This window comes from Homo sapiens, chromosome 14, assembly GCF_000001405.40.
Source record: "Homo sapiens chromosome 14, GRCh38.p14 Primary Assembly".
In the NCBI taxonomy this organism is placed as follows: domain Eukaryota; kingdom Metazoa; phylum Chordata; class Mammalia; order Primates; family Hominidae; genus Homo; species Homo sapiens.
The window spans coordinates 20,106,529-20,122,687 of NC_000014.9; the positions used below are offsets into that span (position 1 = coordinate 20,106,529).

Below are 16,159 nucleotides of genomic sequence, written 5' to 3' on the forward strand. Positions count from 1 at the left end.
CCTGCTCCTGAATGACTACTGGGTACATAACGAAATGAAGGCAGAAATAAAGATGTTCTTTGAAACCAACGAGAACAAAGACACAACAGACCAGAATCTCTGGGACACATTCAAAGCAGTGTGTAGAGGGAAATTGATAGCACTAAATGCCCACAAGAGAAAGCAGGAAAGATCCAAAATTGACACCCTAACATCACAATTAAAAGAACTAGAAAAGCAAGAACAAACACATTCAAAAGCTAGCAGAAAGCAAGAAATAACTAAAATCAGAGCAGAACTGAAGGAAATAGAGACACAAAATCCCCACAAATAATTAATGAATCCAGTAGCTGGTTTTTTGAAAGGATCAACAAAATTGATAGACCACTAGCAAGACTCATAAAGAAGAAAAGAGAGAAGAAACAAATAGATGCAATAAAAAATATTAAAGGGGATATCACCACCGATCCCACAGAAATACAAACTACCATCAGAGAATACTACAAACACCTCTACACAAATAAACTAGAAAATCTAAAAGAAATGGATAAATTCCTCGACACATACACCCTCCCAAGACTAAACCAGGAAGAAGTTGAATCTCTGAATAGACCAATAACAGGCTCTGAAATTGTGGCAATAATCAATAGCTTACCAAAAAAAAAGACTCCAGGACCAGATGGATTCACAGCCGAATTCTACCAGAGGTACAAGGAGGAACTGGTACCATTCCTTTTGAAACTATTCCAATCAATAGAAAAAGAGGGAATCCTCCCTAACTCATTTTATGAGGCCAGCATCATCCTGATACCAAAGCCGGGCAGAGACACAACCAAAAAAGAGAATTTTAGACCAATATCCTTGATGAACATTGATGCAAAAATCCTCAATAAAATACTGGCAGGCTGAATCCAGCAGCACATGAAAAAGCTTATCCACCATGATCAAGTGGGCTTCATCCCTGGGATGCAAGGCTGGTTCAATATACGCAAATCAATAAATGTAATCCAGCATATAAACAGAACCAAAGACAAAAACCACATGATTATCTCAATAGATGCAGAAAAGGCCTTTGACAAAATTCAACAACCCTTCATGCTAAAAACTCTCAATAAATTAGGTATTGATGGGTCGTATCTCAAAATAATCAGAGCTGTCTATGACAAACCCACAGCCAATATCATACTGAATGGGCAAAAACTGGAAGCATTCCCTTTGAAAACTGGCACAAGACAGGGATGCCCTCTCTCACCACTCGTATTCAACATAGTGTTGGAAGTTCTGGCCAGGGCAATTAGGCAGGAGAAGGAAATAAAGGGTATTCAATTAGGAAAAGAGGAAGTCAAATTGTCCCTGTTTGCAGATGACATGATTGTATATCTAGAAAACCCCATTGTCTCAGCCCAAAATCTCCTTAAGCTGATAAGCAACTTCAGCAAAGTCTCAGGATACAAAATCAATGTACAAAAATCACAAGCATTCTTATACACCAAGAACAGACAAACAGAGAGCCAAATCATGAGTGAACTCCCATTCACCGTTGCTTCAAAGAGAATAAAATACCTGGGAATCCAACTTACAAGGGATGTGAAGGACCTCTTCAAGGAGAACTACAAACCACTGCTCAGTGAAATGAAAGAGGATACAAACAAATGGAAGAACATTCCATGCTCATGGGTAGGAAGAATCAATATCGTGAAAATGGCCACACTGCCCAAGGTAATTTATAGATTCAATGTCATCCCCATCAAGCTACCAATGACTTTCTTCACAGAATTGGAAAAAATGACTTTAAAGTTAATATGGAACCAAAAAAGAGCCCGCATCGCCAAGTCAATCCTAAGCCAAAAGAACAAAGCTGGAGGCATCACACTACCTGACTTCAAACTATACTACAAGGCTACAGTAACCAAAACAGCATGGTACTGGTACCAAAACAGAGTTATAGATCAATGGAACAGAACAGAGCCCTCAGAAATAACGCCGCATATCTACAACTATCTGATCTTTGACAAACCTGAGAAAAACAAGCAATGGGGAAAGGATTCCCTATTTAATATATCGTGTTGGGAAAACTGGCTAGCCATATGTAGAAAGCTGAAACTGGATCCCTTCCTTACACCTTATGCAAAAATTAATTCAAGATGGATTAAAGACTTAAACGTTAGACCTAAAACCATAAAAACCCTAGAAGAAAACCTAGGCATTACCATTCAGGACATAGGCATGGACAAGGACTTCATGTCTAAAACACCAAAAGCAATGGCAACAAAAGACAAAATTGACAAATGAGATCTAATTAAACTAAAGAACTTCTGCACAGCAAAAGAAACTACCATCAGAGTGAACAGACAACCTACAAAATGGGAGAAAATTTTCACAATCTACTCATCTGACAAAGAGCTAATATCCAGAATCTACAATGAACTCCAACAAATTTACAAGAAAAAAACAAACAACCCCATCAAAAAGTGGGCAAAGGACATGAACAGACACTTCTCAAAAGAAGACATTTATGCAGCCAAAAAACACATCAAAAAATGCTCACCATCACTGGCCATCAGAGAAATGCAAATCAAAACCATAACGAGATACCATCTCACACCAGTTAGAATGGCAATCATTAAAAAGTCAGGAAACTACAGGTGCTGGAGAGGATGTGGAGAAATAGGAACACTTTTACACTGTTGGTGGGACTGTAAGCTAGTTCAACCATTGTGGAAGTCAGTGTGGCGATTCCTCAGGGATATAGTACTAGAAATACATTTGACCCAGCCATCCCATTACGGGGTATATACCCAAAGGACTATAAATCATGCTGCTATAAAGACACATGCACACATATGTTTATTGTGGCACTATTCACAATAGCAAAGACTTGGAACCAACCCAAATGTCCAACAATGATAGACTGGATTAAGAAAATGTGACACATATGCACCATGGAATACTATGCAGCCAAAAAAAATGATGAGTTCATGTCCTTTGTAGGGACATGGATGAATTTGGAAATCATCATTCTCAGTAAACTATCACCAGGACAAAAAACCAAACACTGCATGTTCTCACTCATAGGTGGGAACTGAACAATGAGAACACATGGACACAGGAAGGGGAACATCACACTCTGGGGACTGTTGTGGGGTGGGGGGAGGGGGGAGGGATAGCATTAGGAGATATACCTAATGCTAAATGACGAATTGATGGGTGCAGCACACCAGCATGGCACATGTATACATATGTAACTAACCTGCACATTGTGCACATGTACCCTAAAACTTAAAGTATAATAATAATGAAATTAAAAATACAAAAAAACTTTACAAATTAAAAAAAAAGTTACAAAAACAATGCTTATAATAATTCAATTATCAATCAAATAATTCAACTGTATAAATAGTAATTATTATATTAATAAATAAATTTCTATTCATTCTATGTAAATACATAAGAAAGGAAGTATATTGTAAGTTTAACCCCATGCCTAGTATATAGGAAACTATGTATGAACTGGCTATTTTTATTATCACTAGTCTATAAGCTTCTGGGGGGCTAGGAGTGTGTTCCTGTATTTATAGCCCTATAATTAGCCAAATGCCTAACATATAGTGTAGCTCAACTATTGTTCCCTTTAAGAGATAGGCTATTAATTACTGAGCAAGTGAATGAAACTAATGAATGCTTGAAGCATCAGAGAAGTGGTTTGGCTTATATTTGCAATGTCATAATTAAGCTCCAAACCCGCACATGCCTTTCTTCATAAGGTTCATTGTCTGTTTCATTACACCTCTCTTATGCCCTTTCTACCTTTCTATAGGTTTACCCGTATATCTTCCTCTCCTCATTATAACCCACCTCAACCACTGCTTTTATATCACCTAGTGATAGAGGTGGCATTTATCTTACCAGAGGATAGTCCTAAGGGCCCACCTCAGCATCCTTTTCTCCCCTTGTGCCCCTACATTAAGCTTAATCTCATTACTTTACAACCAGGAATCAAAATTAAATGGTCCCACAGCCAGCTGAGACAAAATAAAGAAGAAAGCAGGACACTAGCTCCAAAACCTCTCCAATCACCCTAGTGAAATTAACTTCATCTGTCACATTTAAACTATCATTGATTACGTAATATACTCTGTGGCCCTGAAGCATTATTCCCTCAGCAGACAGAATCACCGTTAGAATCATCTATAGAGGATTCCCAGAGTTTTCCAGCACTTATTAGGCACTACCTAATTCTAAGAGAGACGGTATTAGGAACTCCCCTGATTGGAGTCTAGATACTTTAGTGACTTGTTTCTTCTATGGAACTATAAGTTGAGAAGGTGCATGCCCTTCTCGATATTGTCCCCTCTGAACCCATGGCCCTGACTTCTTCTGAACTGGTAAGCAGAAGACATTGCTGACATTATAAAGCCAATGTATTTGCCTGTCACAGTTCACACAAGATAGCAATTGTTAAATGAACTTGTTATAATCAGTCATGAAAAAGCATAGTCTCAGGTTTGAGAAAATGCTCAAGACATTCTGGAAAATGTACCAAAAAGAAAATTAAACTCAGACTTACGAAGACTAAATGAGATGATATATGTGAAGTTCCTAGTACAGAGTCCAGCAAACAGCAGAACCTCAATAAATGATTGAATTTATTATCATTTGGAAAATGACACTGAGGCTTAAGTATATGCTAGGAACTTTACCAGGTGTTAAGATGGCAAACTAAAATAGTTCACAAACTTGGGAGGAAGACAGAAGTATATATAAATAACTATATTATAGGTTATAAGGGTAGTACTATGAGGGTACAGAGGAGAGAATCATCGACTGAGTCAGTTTCTTAGGAAAGTTTCCACTGAGAATGTATTGATTTGGACATTAACAGTGAACAGAACGAGTCAGAAAACAAGAGTATTCATGATTTGGTTGTATGTATTTCTTCTTGGCATGGACTTACATTTCCTGAAACTATCTTTCTAGAGGCTCTTGCAGAGAGAACTAGGCTGCTCCTAAATTAAAGTCATTAAAATGACCACATCTCAAAAACCCTTGCTAATTTAAGAGCATGTAAGCATTTTTATCCCCAGTCATCAGCTCTATTTGGAGTTTTGCTTTGGTGTTATTGTCGTTAATTAGGCTTCTACAATTTCCAGGAAAGAAATTGCTACAACTAAAACTGCTATATTTGAGTTCTTGCTAAAAGGCTGAGATGAATAAAGAAGAGCTTAGAAACTATAAGTATATGCCAAACAAAAAAGTAGAGAACTGTCCTATACACCTGTTAAGAGCCCATATACAGCCAGAAATTAGAAGATTACTAGGATTCAGCTTTACTCCAATGACCCATCCATAATCACCTCCAATTCTATGTGCCTTAGCTACTTTTTTGTGTGTGATTTGCTCAGCAGCCACATCCAGTTTCTTCCTGCAGTGGAAAGAGCAATCCAAGATCCACTTTCTCTTCATGGTAAATCGGCTTGGAGAACAAATGAAATAAATGGAGTCCTGGAGGGCTGGATAGGTCAAAGTCAGGAAAAGAAGTTTGGAACTTGTCATTTATTCAGAGGAGTAAGGAAAACAGTGGGAGGTAAGGTGTCATAAAAAGAGACATAATATTTTGTTGGGGAGATGAGAGGAGGGGAAATCCCAGTGAGAAAGGGAACTGAGGAATGAAAGCTGACAGTGAATTTCAGAAATTAAATATTAGTTTCTCGCTAGAGCATATAATATTAAGATTTAAGCAGCTCCAGGGTCATCTAAATTGGCCAGAATCTGACAGCACAGTCAATATCTTGGCCTCACACAGATATCCAGGAAAGACATTTGATCAGGGAAGTAGACTCCTCCTTAACAAGGAAAGGGTACATCGATTAATCTCTCTGCTTTGGAAAACTCATTTCTGTCCCGCAGTTAACAGAGGACTGAGACACATTCAAAAGGCAGGTAAGCAAAATGGAGTCAGTGTTCCATCCCTGTTACTAATCAGCACAAAGTGGGTGTTCAGAGTCACATGGTGATGATAGGTTTGGAAACCAGGAAAGCCCCAGTGCTGCAAGATAACACAAACTAGTTAGGTGAAGCCACAGTACCCAGACTGGCAACTAAAGTAAATGTGGTGGTCAGTGACCTAAATTCAAAGAAGACCAGAGCACCAGCTCAAGTCCTTGAACCTGATATACATGTTTTCCTCAGAGAAGGTTTACAATACATCTGTCGAGGTGAGACACGGCAGGCAGGAGTAAGTGAGTTTGTTGTTCCGGAGTGAGAATTATATAAAAATCGAGAGGCAAAATCATGTTAGATTTTTCCCTGAATTTCAAATTATTTCAGATAATATACAAATGTATGCAAATTTCTAAGGCCATGGCTGAAAATATGAATCCTGTGAAATAATGATGAAAAATAATTAAACTTGTATTATGCAAAATGCTGTAGGCATCCAAGTGTTCTCAATTGCTGCCCAATAGTAATCTGGTAAACTATGAAGATCAGATCACTATTAAAGTCTATTTTTGACACAGCTATTGATACAATTTGTCATAGTGAAGGCTAAGGTACTATGTTTTAGAGTAGAACATAACTTGTGAGTAAGGAGGAATGAAATATGGCATTACAGCAATCCCATGCCAAAAAAAATTATGTTTTAATTAGGTCATGCAATAATTTGCCTCAGGGCAGCAGACAGTTCTACTCAAATAGCAACAAAATATGAAAAATAAATCAATGTCTAAGTGTGATAATAGTGCAATTAATTCAATCATCCAACATTTTCTTTTTTATACATATTTACCTATTTATTCTAATAATTGTATTATCAACAATTATAGTTATTCAAAAACTTGCAGTGATAAGGCTAAAGTTCAGCCTTACTCTGGGGTCATGGACCCTTAATTTGGTGTCATGAAGTCCTGAATTTGAATCCCATGATTTTATCTGTGTGAATTTTAGCCAGTTAGTAGTAAGAATAGTAGCAATAACTCACATTTATTGTGTGCCAACTATATGCTAGATGCTGTACTATGTGCTTTTTACACACTATTTTAATTTAAATACTCAATTTGTCTAAGTTGTATTATTTGTTAATTTCTGTGATATAACATACATACTTATAAGAGTTTCTAACATAAAAAGTAATGACCAGTGGACTATAATGGTACAGAAAACCTTGAGTACAGTTTTCTTCTCATTGCCTAACATTGTCTTCCAGCCAACCCTGCTTGGAGTGACTATATCATAATGGCCTTCCTTCAGTTCCTTTATACTTTGTGTTGCTCCATTAATAGGCTGTGAATAGAAATTTGACTGAAGCCAGTCGTATAGCTCTTGTGAACATAAATATAAACAAGAGAAAAATACATAATTTTTTATATCAGATAGAGAATTTTCTCTATTTTCAAACAAGTGAGATCCCTAAATGTAAGTTCCTAAGCCCATTTGTGAATATCCATTTGTTCATAAGTAAAAGAAGTACTATAGCAAGCAAGTGTAAAATCCTACAATTGAAAATGTGCAGAGTTGATGCAGCTTGGTTGGAGAACATAGCTCTGTCTCTGTTTCTATGAATGACTGTAAACCAAATGGCTATTCTACAAAGGATACATTCTTTTTACAAACATTTTAATTAAAATATTGGTACTCTCAGGTTAGAGGCAGGTAGGGACTTTATGTCACCCTCACACATGGATGGTATGGTAAAAATGAAAGAAAGTTGCAGAACTATTCTGTATCTCGTGTGTAATTTATTATATTTTTCCATGGATCATGTTTTTTGGAGGTGTGTCTAAAAAGTATTTGCCTAAATCAAATTCATGCATATTTTCTCCCTTCTCCTCTTCCCAGGAAATTTAGTTTTACATATTGCATTTAGGTTTATGATCCAATTTGGAGTTAATTTTTGTAGAGGTTGTGAGGTATAGGTTGATCTTAATTTTTTACCCATTGTTTGGCATATCCAATTTTTCTAGTATGATTTGTTAAAAAGAACTTGTTGCATTTTTAAGATCTTTTGACTATTTTATATCAATATAAAACGTATTTAAATCTTCGCCATTCCAGGAAGATCAGTCTTAATTCTGTTTCCATTCTGTCTGCTATGTTATCAAGCCTGTGTCTTTACCCTGAAATTTCTTAAAATGAATTTCCCACCCATTACCTCAATTTCTTGATTTCACACTGATTTGGTTTCCCAAGTCCTCATTCACTGAAGTAATTTGCCTAAAGACAGAGTGTGACTGAATGGTTCAGTTCCAGGGATCACTCCACCTGATCAGTTAGTGAGAACTGCTTCCACCACTCATCACTATCACAGCTATCTTTAAGTAACGTCTTGCCTATGTTTTCCTATTATAAAGCATTGTATCTAATTCTAAGTTATCTTATATATTTACAAATAAATACTACTTGATTTCAAAAGCTAGAATAAAATAGGGTTAATAAAAACTCTCCTATAATTAATCTATTTAAACAAGCCACTGTCAAGCTTAAACAAGAACTTCTGAGGCCCTCATCTTGTAATTACTATAGCCAAACCACTGATTGCTTACAGGACTTTCTTGCATAGTCTTGGGCATATTATTCACCAAATTATGAATGACTGTAAGAACTTGGAAATAAACTAGATTAAATAATAAAAAGCAAACTTGCCTGTTTTGTTTCACTTTCTTTGTTTACAGACATCTTCTGAACACTCTCTTACTCCAAAAATACATATCTGAGCACAAGTGTTTTCAGGTCCTGGCATTTTTATGAAGGAATATTTCCAGCATGAAGTTCTTTTGGGACTAGACACATCACCATAGCAAAAATAATCTCTTTGTTAATAGTTGTGGCATTATTCAATATTTTAAGAAATATATAAATTTTGTATGTATATGCTTATACAATGTTTACAAAATGGGTTCATACTGTTTTTAACTTAAAATAATGTAAATATTTTCATGTTATTATATAGTTTTCTCAAGTATCATTTCATTAAAGATGCAATATTACATCCTATAATTTTCTATAATCCAGAAATAATAAGAAAGTAAGCCTCAATTTAGAACATTTGGAATGTTTCAACTTTTGTGTATCTACAGTACTGTTACCATGAAGATTTTATAGCACACTCATAATCCTTATGATAAATTCTGAGAGGTGAAAGATCTCAAAGGGTCTATATATTTTAAACTTTCTGAAGCATACATAGTAAATAAATATATTAGGGCTTAAAGTTAATGTTAACTATATTAATATTAATTTGGGGGAGGACTAGCATAGTAAAGTGACCAAGTGACATGAGCTCTAGGGAGCAAAATGGGGTCATATGGCCCTGGAGCAAAGATAATGTCACAATTTTTAAAAACTTACTAAGAAAGGAGATAAAGATATATCACAGACAAATTTTAGACAACTATTTTTCACACAGCTATACCTGATATTTGTATTTGAGTTGATTCAAAGTTAAAATCAAATTAGCTAACAAGTAATAAAACTCTGAAATGGGGATAGAATAATAGATTCATAAAAGATAATAATAGGCACATTAAAAACAGGCCTATGAAGTATTGGGCCTGAGAAGGAACTCAGGGTTTGAACGCAACCACTTGGTTTTACCAATCGTGAAACTGAGACCCAGAGGGAAAGATAAGGCAGCTGTTGGAGACAAAGGTGGCTCTCAGTCCCAGTCTGCCATCTTCATTTGAATGTTCTCTCCAAATAGCCTACTGATTCTTCTCACATTGTAACTCACAGAAGCACAGAATACATGACTTTCAATCTGACCTATCTTTTTTATGAGATTAATTATTCTGCTTCTTAATCAGAATTTTCTGCATAATCTGTCTCACACACACACAGAGACACACACAGACACACACACATACATTATATTATTTTCCAGATTGGAACATAGTGATCTACTAGTTTTAGCCATATAGTAGTTACAGTCATATCCTCAGCCTGAAGGCTCCAGTATGGGGGCTGTTGCCACTCATCACCAGATCAGTGTTATGTAAATAAATGTGAATGGAGTTCTAGTGAAGACTAGGGTTCAGGTATAAATTGTTAAACCTGGTTTGCTCAAGGTATACAATTTTATAAATAAAGGGGATGTGATATGTGAACTGGAAGCAAGAATCAAGACATTAGATGTCACAAGTAATGCCACTTTTGTTCACGGTGTCTTTCTTGCTTCCTCTGTAATATGTGGCTCTTGTTAGAATGTGACAAGGCCACATAGCCCCAGAGTATTCATCCGTGTTGCTTAATCTCAGCCTCCTTTGGCCTTATAGAAATTATTTAGAAATATGGGTTTCAGCCACAGGAGGCCATGAGTAGTAGCAGTCACATCAGAAAAAAATAATATTTGCCAAAAAGACTTTCTAAGAGAGTTACAAGACTAGAAGCCCACTGGTGGAAGATAAGGAGGAAAAACACAGCAGTATGCATTACTTGCAACCTCGCTAACTCACTTATCTAGAGCAGCTTTAAATCTGCTGAGTCAGAGTCCCTTCAAAACTCTGGGGATGATTCAGAACTAAAACAGAATTTCTTAAGGTCATTATGGGAAAATAACAACTCCAATATTCACTCAAATTTAAAATTTTGAGTTTGAAAGAGTAGAGGTTGTGCTGAAACCCTTTGTTCTCCAAGGAATTCAGACTAAACCATCTTTCAACCCAGAAAGTCACAGATTTCCTGAAGATGGTTCTATCTCTTTTGTCCTATGAAGATACACTTATATGCTCCAGAGCTTGTGGTTTGCTTCTGGGAAACCAACAGCATCAATAGGTCATTGCTCTTTTATGGAAGTGGACAGCTCAGACTATACGTCTCCTTTTTCAGACTTAATAGATACTGACACTAAATTTCAAGGTCCGTTTATTGAAAGATCCAAAGGAATGCATAAGTTTGGTTTTTCATATGGCTCTTTATTTTTCACTCATACTCCATGGTATGAGTGATCTTTTCTTTCTCTCTACAGGTCATCCAAGAGCGAGCTGTAGGATGGAGGCCATGAAACTATTAAATCAATCTCAAGTGTCAGAATTCATTTTGCTGGGACTGACCAGCTCCCAGGATGTAGAGTTTCTTCTCTTTGCCCTCTTCTCGGTTATCTATGTGGTCACAGTTTTGGGTAACCTTCTTATTATAGTCACAGTGTTTAACACCCCTAACCTGAATACTCCCATGTATTTTCTCCTTGGTAATCTCTCTTTTGTAGATATGACCCTTGCTTCTTTTGCCACCCCTAAGGTGATTCTGAACTTGTTAAAAAAGCAGAAGGTAATTTCTTTTGCTGGGTGCTTCACTCAGATATTTCTCCTTCACTTACTGGGTGGGGTTGAAATGGTACTGTTGGTCTCCATGGCTTTTGACAGATATGTGGCCATTTGTAAGCCCCTACACTACATGACCATCATGAACAAGAAGGTATGTGTTTTGCTTGTAGTGACCTCATGGCTCTTGGGTCTCCTTCACTCAGGGTTTCAGATACCATTTGCTGTGAACTTGCCCTTTTGTGGTCCCAATGTGGTAGACAGCATTTTTTGTGACCTCCCTTTGGTTACTAAGCTTGCCTGTATAGACATATATTTTGTACAGGTAGTCATTGTTGCCAACAGTGGCATAATCTCCCTGAGCTGTTTCATTATTTTGCTTATCTCCTACAGTCTGATCCTCATAACCATTAAGAACCACTCTCCTACTGGGCAATCTAAAGCCCGTTCCACTTTGACTGCTCACATCACAGTGGTGATTCTCTTCTTTGGCCCATGCATCTTTATCTACATTTGGCCCTTCGGCAACCACTCTGTAGATAAGTTCCTTGCTGTGTTTTATACCATCATCACTCCTATCTTGAATCCAATTATCTATACTCTGAGAAACAAAGAAATGAAGATATCCATGAAAAAACTCTGGAGAGCTTTTGTGAATTCTAGAGAAGATACTTAGATTAAAAATATAATGGTAGAGGCCGGGCATGGTGGCTGATGCCTGTAATCCCCACACTTTGGGAGGAATATCAGGGGAACCAGCCCCCAATATTTCAACATAGGTTCTTTTCTATTTTCCCTAAGTGTTGACTGGTCTGAGAAATAAAGGGAAAGAATACAAAAGAGAGAAATTTTAAAGCTGGGTGTCCAGGGGAGACATCACATGTCAGCGGGTTCCGTGATGCCCCCCAAGCTGCAAAACCAGCAAGTTTTTATTATGGATTTCAAAAGGGAGGCAGTGTACGAATAGGGTGTGGGTCACAGAGATCACATGCATCACAAGGCAATAAAATATCACAAGGCAAATGGGGACAGAGCAAGATCACAGGACCAGGGTGAAATTAACATTGCTAATGAAGTTTTATGCCCCACTGGGCACTCATTGCCATTGATAACATCTTATCAGGAGACAGGGTTTGAGAGCGGACAACCGGTCTGACTAAAATTTACTAGGCAGGAATTTCCTCACCCTAATAGGCCTGGGGACACTACAGGAGACTGGGGCTTATTTCATCCCTTATCTACAGCCGTGTAAGACAGACATTGCCAGAGCGGCCATTTTAGAGACCTCCCCCTAGGAATGCATTCTCCTTCTCAGGGTTATTCCTTGCTGAGAAAAAGAATTCAGCGATATTTCTCCTATTCACTTTTGTAAGAAGAGAAATATGACTCTGTTCCACCCAGCTCCCAGGCAGTCAGACCTAATGGTTATCTCTCTTGTTCCCTGAACATCGCTGTTATCCTGTTCTTTTTTCAAAGTGCCCAGATTTCATATTGTTTAAACACACATGCTTTATGAACAATTTGTGCCATTAACATAATCATCACAGGGTCCTGAGGCAACATACATCCTCAGCTTAAGAAGATGATGGGATTAAGAGATTAAAGTAAAGACAGGCATAGGAAATCACAAGAGTATTGATTGGGGAAGTGATAAATGTCCATGAAATTTTCACAATTTATGTTCAGAGATTGTAGTAAAGACAGGCATGAGAAATTATACAAATATTAATTTGGGGAACTAATAAATGTCCATGAAATCTTCAAAATTTATGTTCTTCTGTCACGGCTTCAGCAGGTCCCTCTGTTCGGGGTCCCTGACTTCCCGCAACAGAGCCAAGGCAGGTTGCCTTGGCTGACTTGAGGTCAGGAGTTTGAGACCAGCCTGGCCAACATGGCGAAACCCTGCCTCTACCAAAAATACAAAAATTAGCCAGGCGTGGTGGTGCATCCCTGCAATCCCAGCTATTCAGGAGGCTGAGGCAGGAGAATTGCTTGAACCCAGGAGGCAGAGGCTTCAGTGAGCTGAGTTTGTGTCACTGCCCTCCAGCCTGGGTGACAGAGTGAGAGTCCATCTTAAAATAATAATAATAATAGTAGCAGAGAAACAATAATTTTTTATATTTTTAAAGGTTTCTCTTAAGTATAGAGTTATTAGCTACACTGAGATGAAGGCAAGTAAAATGCAGTAAGATTACAGTAGTCAGTCAAGATTATTTTTAATGCAGCACCAAAAATAATAAATTATTGATTTTTAAAATGTTGACTGAGTTATAAAAGGTGTCAGAGACTCACTTGTCCTTCAGAGGAGCTTGATAGATATGTACTTTGTTTAGTTGTTACAATGGCTTTTGATGTAAATGAAATAAAGTGAATCCTCAAAATGTCTGTCACATTTTTACTGTATAATTGAGTTAAATGATTTGGCACTCACTGTGAGATCATGTTTGGTTCTCTGTCTTCTTTACAATATTAATGTCTAAGTCAGCACTCATATGCAGTGTCTCCTAAGAAACCAGTAATTCAGACTTTCCATATCTACCTACACTCATTTTTCTTGTAGCTTCCAAAATAAGAATTCATGAAGATACCTTTATGGTTGTTAATATTATAAAATCTCACTTTCACCTCCTTGTCCCCATGTATTTCAATTCAAAAAAACTGTGTGTCTGACTCCAAAAAGAAAATTATACATTCTAGGTAAATGAACTCTAGTCCTAGAACCAAGATGGTTTTCTTGTGTGACTGTGTGCTGAGCACCGGCTCAGCCACCATAGAGAATTAGTTTCTACCTCAAACTCAGAGCCACTGCAACTCTGCACTTACCCATACTTCCGTCACAAGGTCCCCAGCTATTTCAAAAGCACCTGCACCTTGCATACCATTATAGTTTGGGCAGTGGAATTCCTGGGCCCAGATACTGCTGCCATTACTATCCCAAACCACAGATCTATAGTACCTCCATTCATACCTGCGCTTATGGCTCCAGATCCATGGCTTCCCCTAGGGTACCCCTCGTCAGACATTTATGCCAAAACCACCACAAGCAGTTTCTCAAGCTGGACCCAGTGCCAAGAGGGATTCCTCCAGCCACAACATCCCCAGTGGGAGAAAAAGAGATAGAAAGGACTTTAGCAGCCCTAGCCACCAAAGACCACAACAATTTTTGTCACCACTTCAAACATCTACATCATTGGCTGCTGAAGTTCCCTACAATCTTCATCAATGCCAACCTCAGCTGGAGGAGCTACACAAACACGACACTGCTGCACCTTCACAATAGTCAGAGCAGTTGTGTTTTACTCAACCAATCCCCTCACACCTCCATACAGGGGAAGTTCTTTCTGTACTGAAACCAGCCTGTGAAGTCTGGAAGAGATGACTGCTCCAACAAATGCACAGAAATCTGCTTAAGACAACAAGAAACACCAAAAACCAAAAGGGAGTATCACCATGAAAGGAACACAATAATTTTCCAGTATCTGTCTCCAAAGAAACAGAGACCTATGAACTCCCAGACAAAGACTTCACAATAATTGTCTTAAGGAAGTGCAGTAAAGTCCAAGAACATACAGGGAAATAATTCAACAAAATCAAGCAAACAACAAACAAAAAAATGGGGAAATTTGATGAAGAGATTGAAATAGTTTTTAAAATTCCAGAAATTTGTTTAAAAATAAATAACATAAAAATATGTAAATTGTGACAGTAAAAACATAAAATGTGTGGGGGAGGTAGAATAAAAGTGTAGACTTTTTAAATGCAATCAAAGTTAGGTATTTATTCACTTAAAATAGTCTATGATAACCATAAGATGTGTTATGTAAGCCTTATGGTAACTACAAATGAAAAACCTATAGAGCATTTACAAAAACAAAAAAAATAAAAAATCAAAGCATATGCTGGAGAAAATAAACTATGAATAAATGAAGACGAAAGAGAAAGATGAAGCAAAAGAAAAGGAAGGGAACAAAGAGTGTAAAAAATAACCAGAAAACAATTAATAAAATGGAGGTACTAAGCACAGTCAGTTTTCTGGCATATCCATAGGTTTTACATTCACAGACTCAATCAACCACAGATCAAAACTATCAAAAATAAATAAATAAATAACAGCACAACAATAAAAATAATACAAAATTTTAAAACAAGTATAACAACTATTTACATTTTATTTGATATTATAAGTTATCTAGAGTTGGTATAAATCATACAACAGAATGCATGTAAGTTTTATGCAAATACTGTGACATTTTGTATAAGGGACTTAAGCATCTATAGATTTTGATAATCACAGGGAGGTCTTGGAGTCTGTTGCCTAAAGTCACTGAGGGATGACTCTACTTACCTACCAACAATTATCTGGAATGTGAATGAATTAAATTATCTGAACAAAAGACACAGAGTGGCTAAATGAATAAAAAGATAAAACCCAACTACATACTGCCTCCAAGAGATTTTCTTCATATTTAAGGACATAAATAGACTGAAAGTGAAGGGATAGAAAATGATATTCCATGCAAATGAAAACCAAAGACAGCAGGGATAGCCATATTTAAAGAGATAAAATGTAAGTAAAACTATAAAAAGAGGCAGAGGATGTCATTATGTAATGATTAAAGGGATGTTTCATCAGGAGAATATAAAAATCTTAAATATATACACACTAAACATAAGAGCAAATATTTTTAAAATTTATTATTTTATTTTATTGACAAATAATGTTTACCTATATCCATGGGTATATAGTGATGTTTTTGGTATGTACAATGTATGATGACCATATCTGGATAACTTGTGTATCCATCATCTAAAACATTTGTCATTTATTTTTATTGGGAATGTTCAATATCCTTCTTCCAGCAATTTGAAATTATATGATATATCACTGTGGCATAGAACACTAAAAAGTGTTCCTATGGTTGTAA

General features: G+C 36.9%; 1 protein-coding gene across 1 annotated transcript; it reads left to right on the plus strand.

The window, feature by feature from the left end:
- Window positions 1–4,210: 4,210 nt before the first annotated feature.
- Window positions 4,211–15,671, plus strand: OR4K17 (olfactory receptor family 4 subfamily K member 17). The gene is made up of 2 exons (NM_001004715.5): window positions 4,211–4,364; window positions 10,940–15,671. Exon 2 carries the CDS (start codon window positions 10,972–10,974, stop codon window positions 11,908–11,910), a length of 939 nt encoding a protein of 312 aa, NP_001004715.3. The 5' UTR covers window positions 4,211–4,364; window positions 10,940–10,971; the 3' UTR covers window positions 11,911–15,671.
- Window positions 15,672–16,159: the final 488 nt, after the last annotated feature.

Coding starts and splice junctions, on each gene's coding strand:
- OR4K17 (NM_001004715.5), top strand. CDS start 10,972: ATGAAACTATTAAATCAATCTCAAGTGTCAGAATTCATTTTGCTGGGA.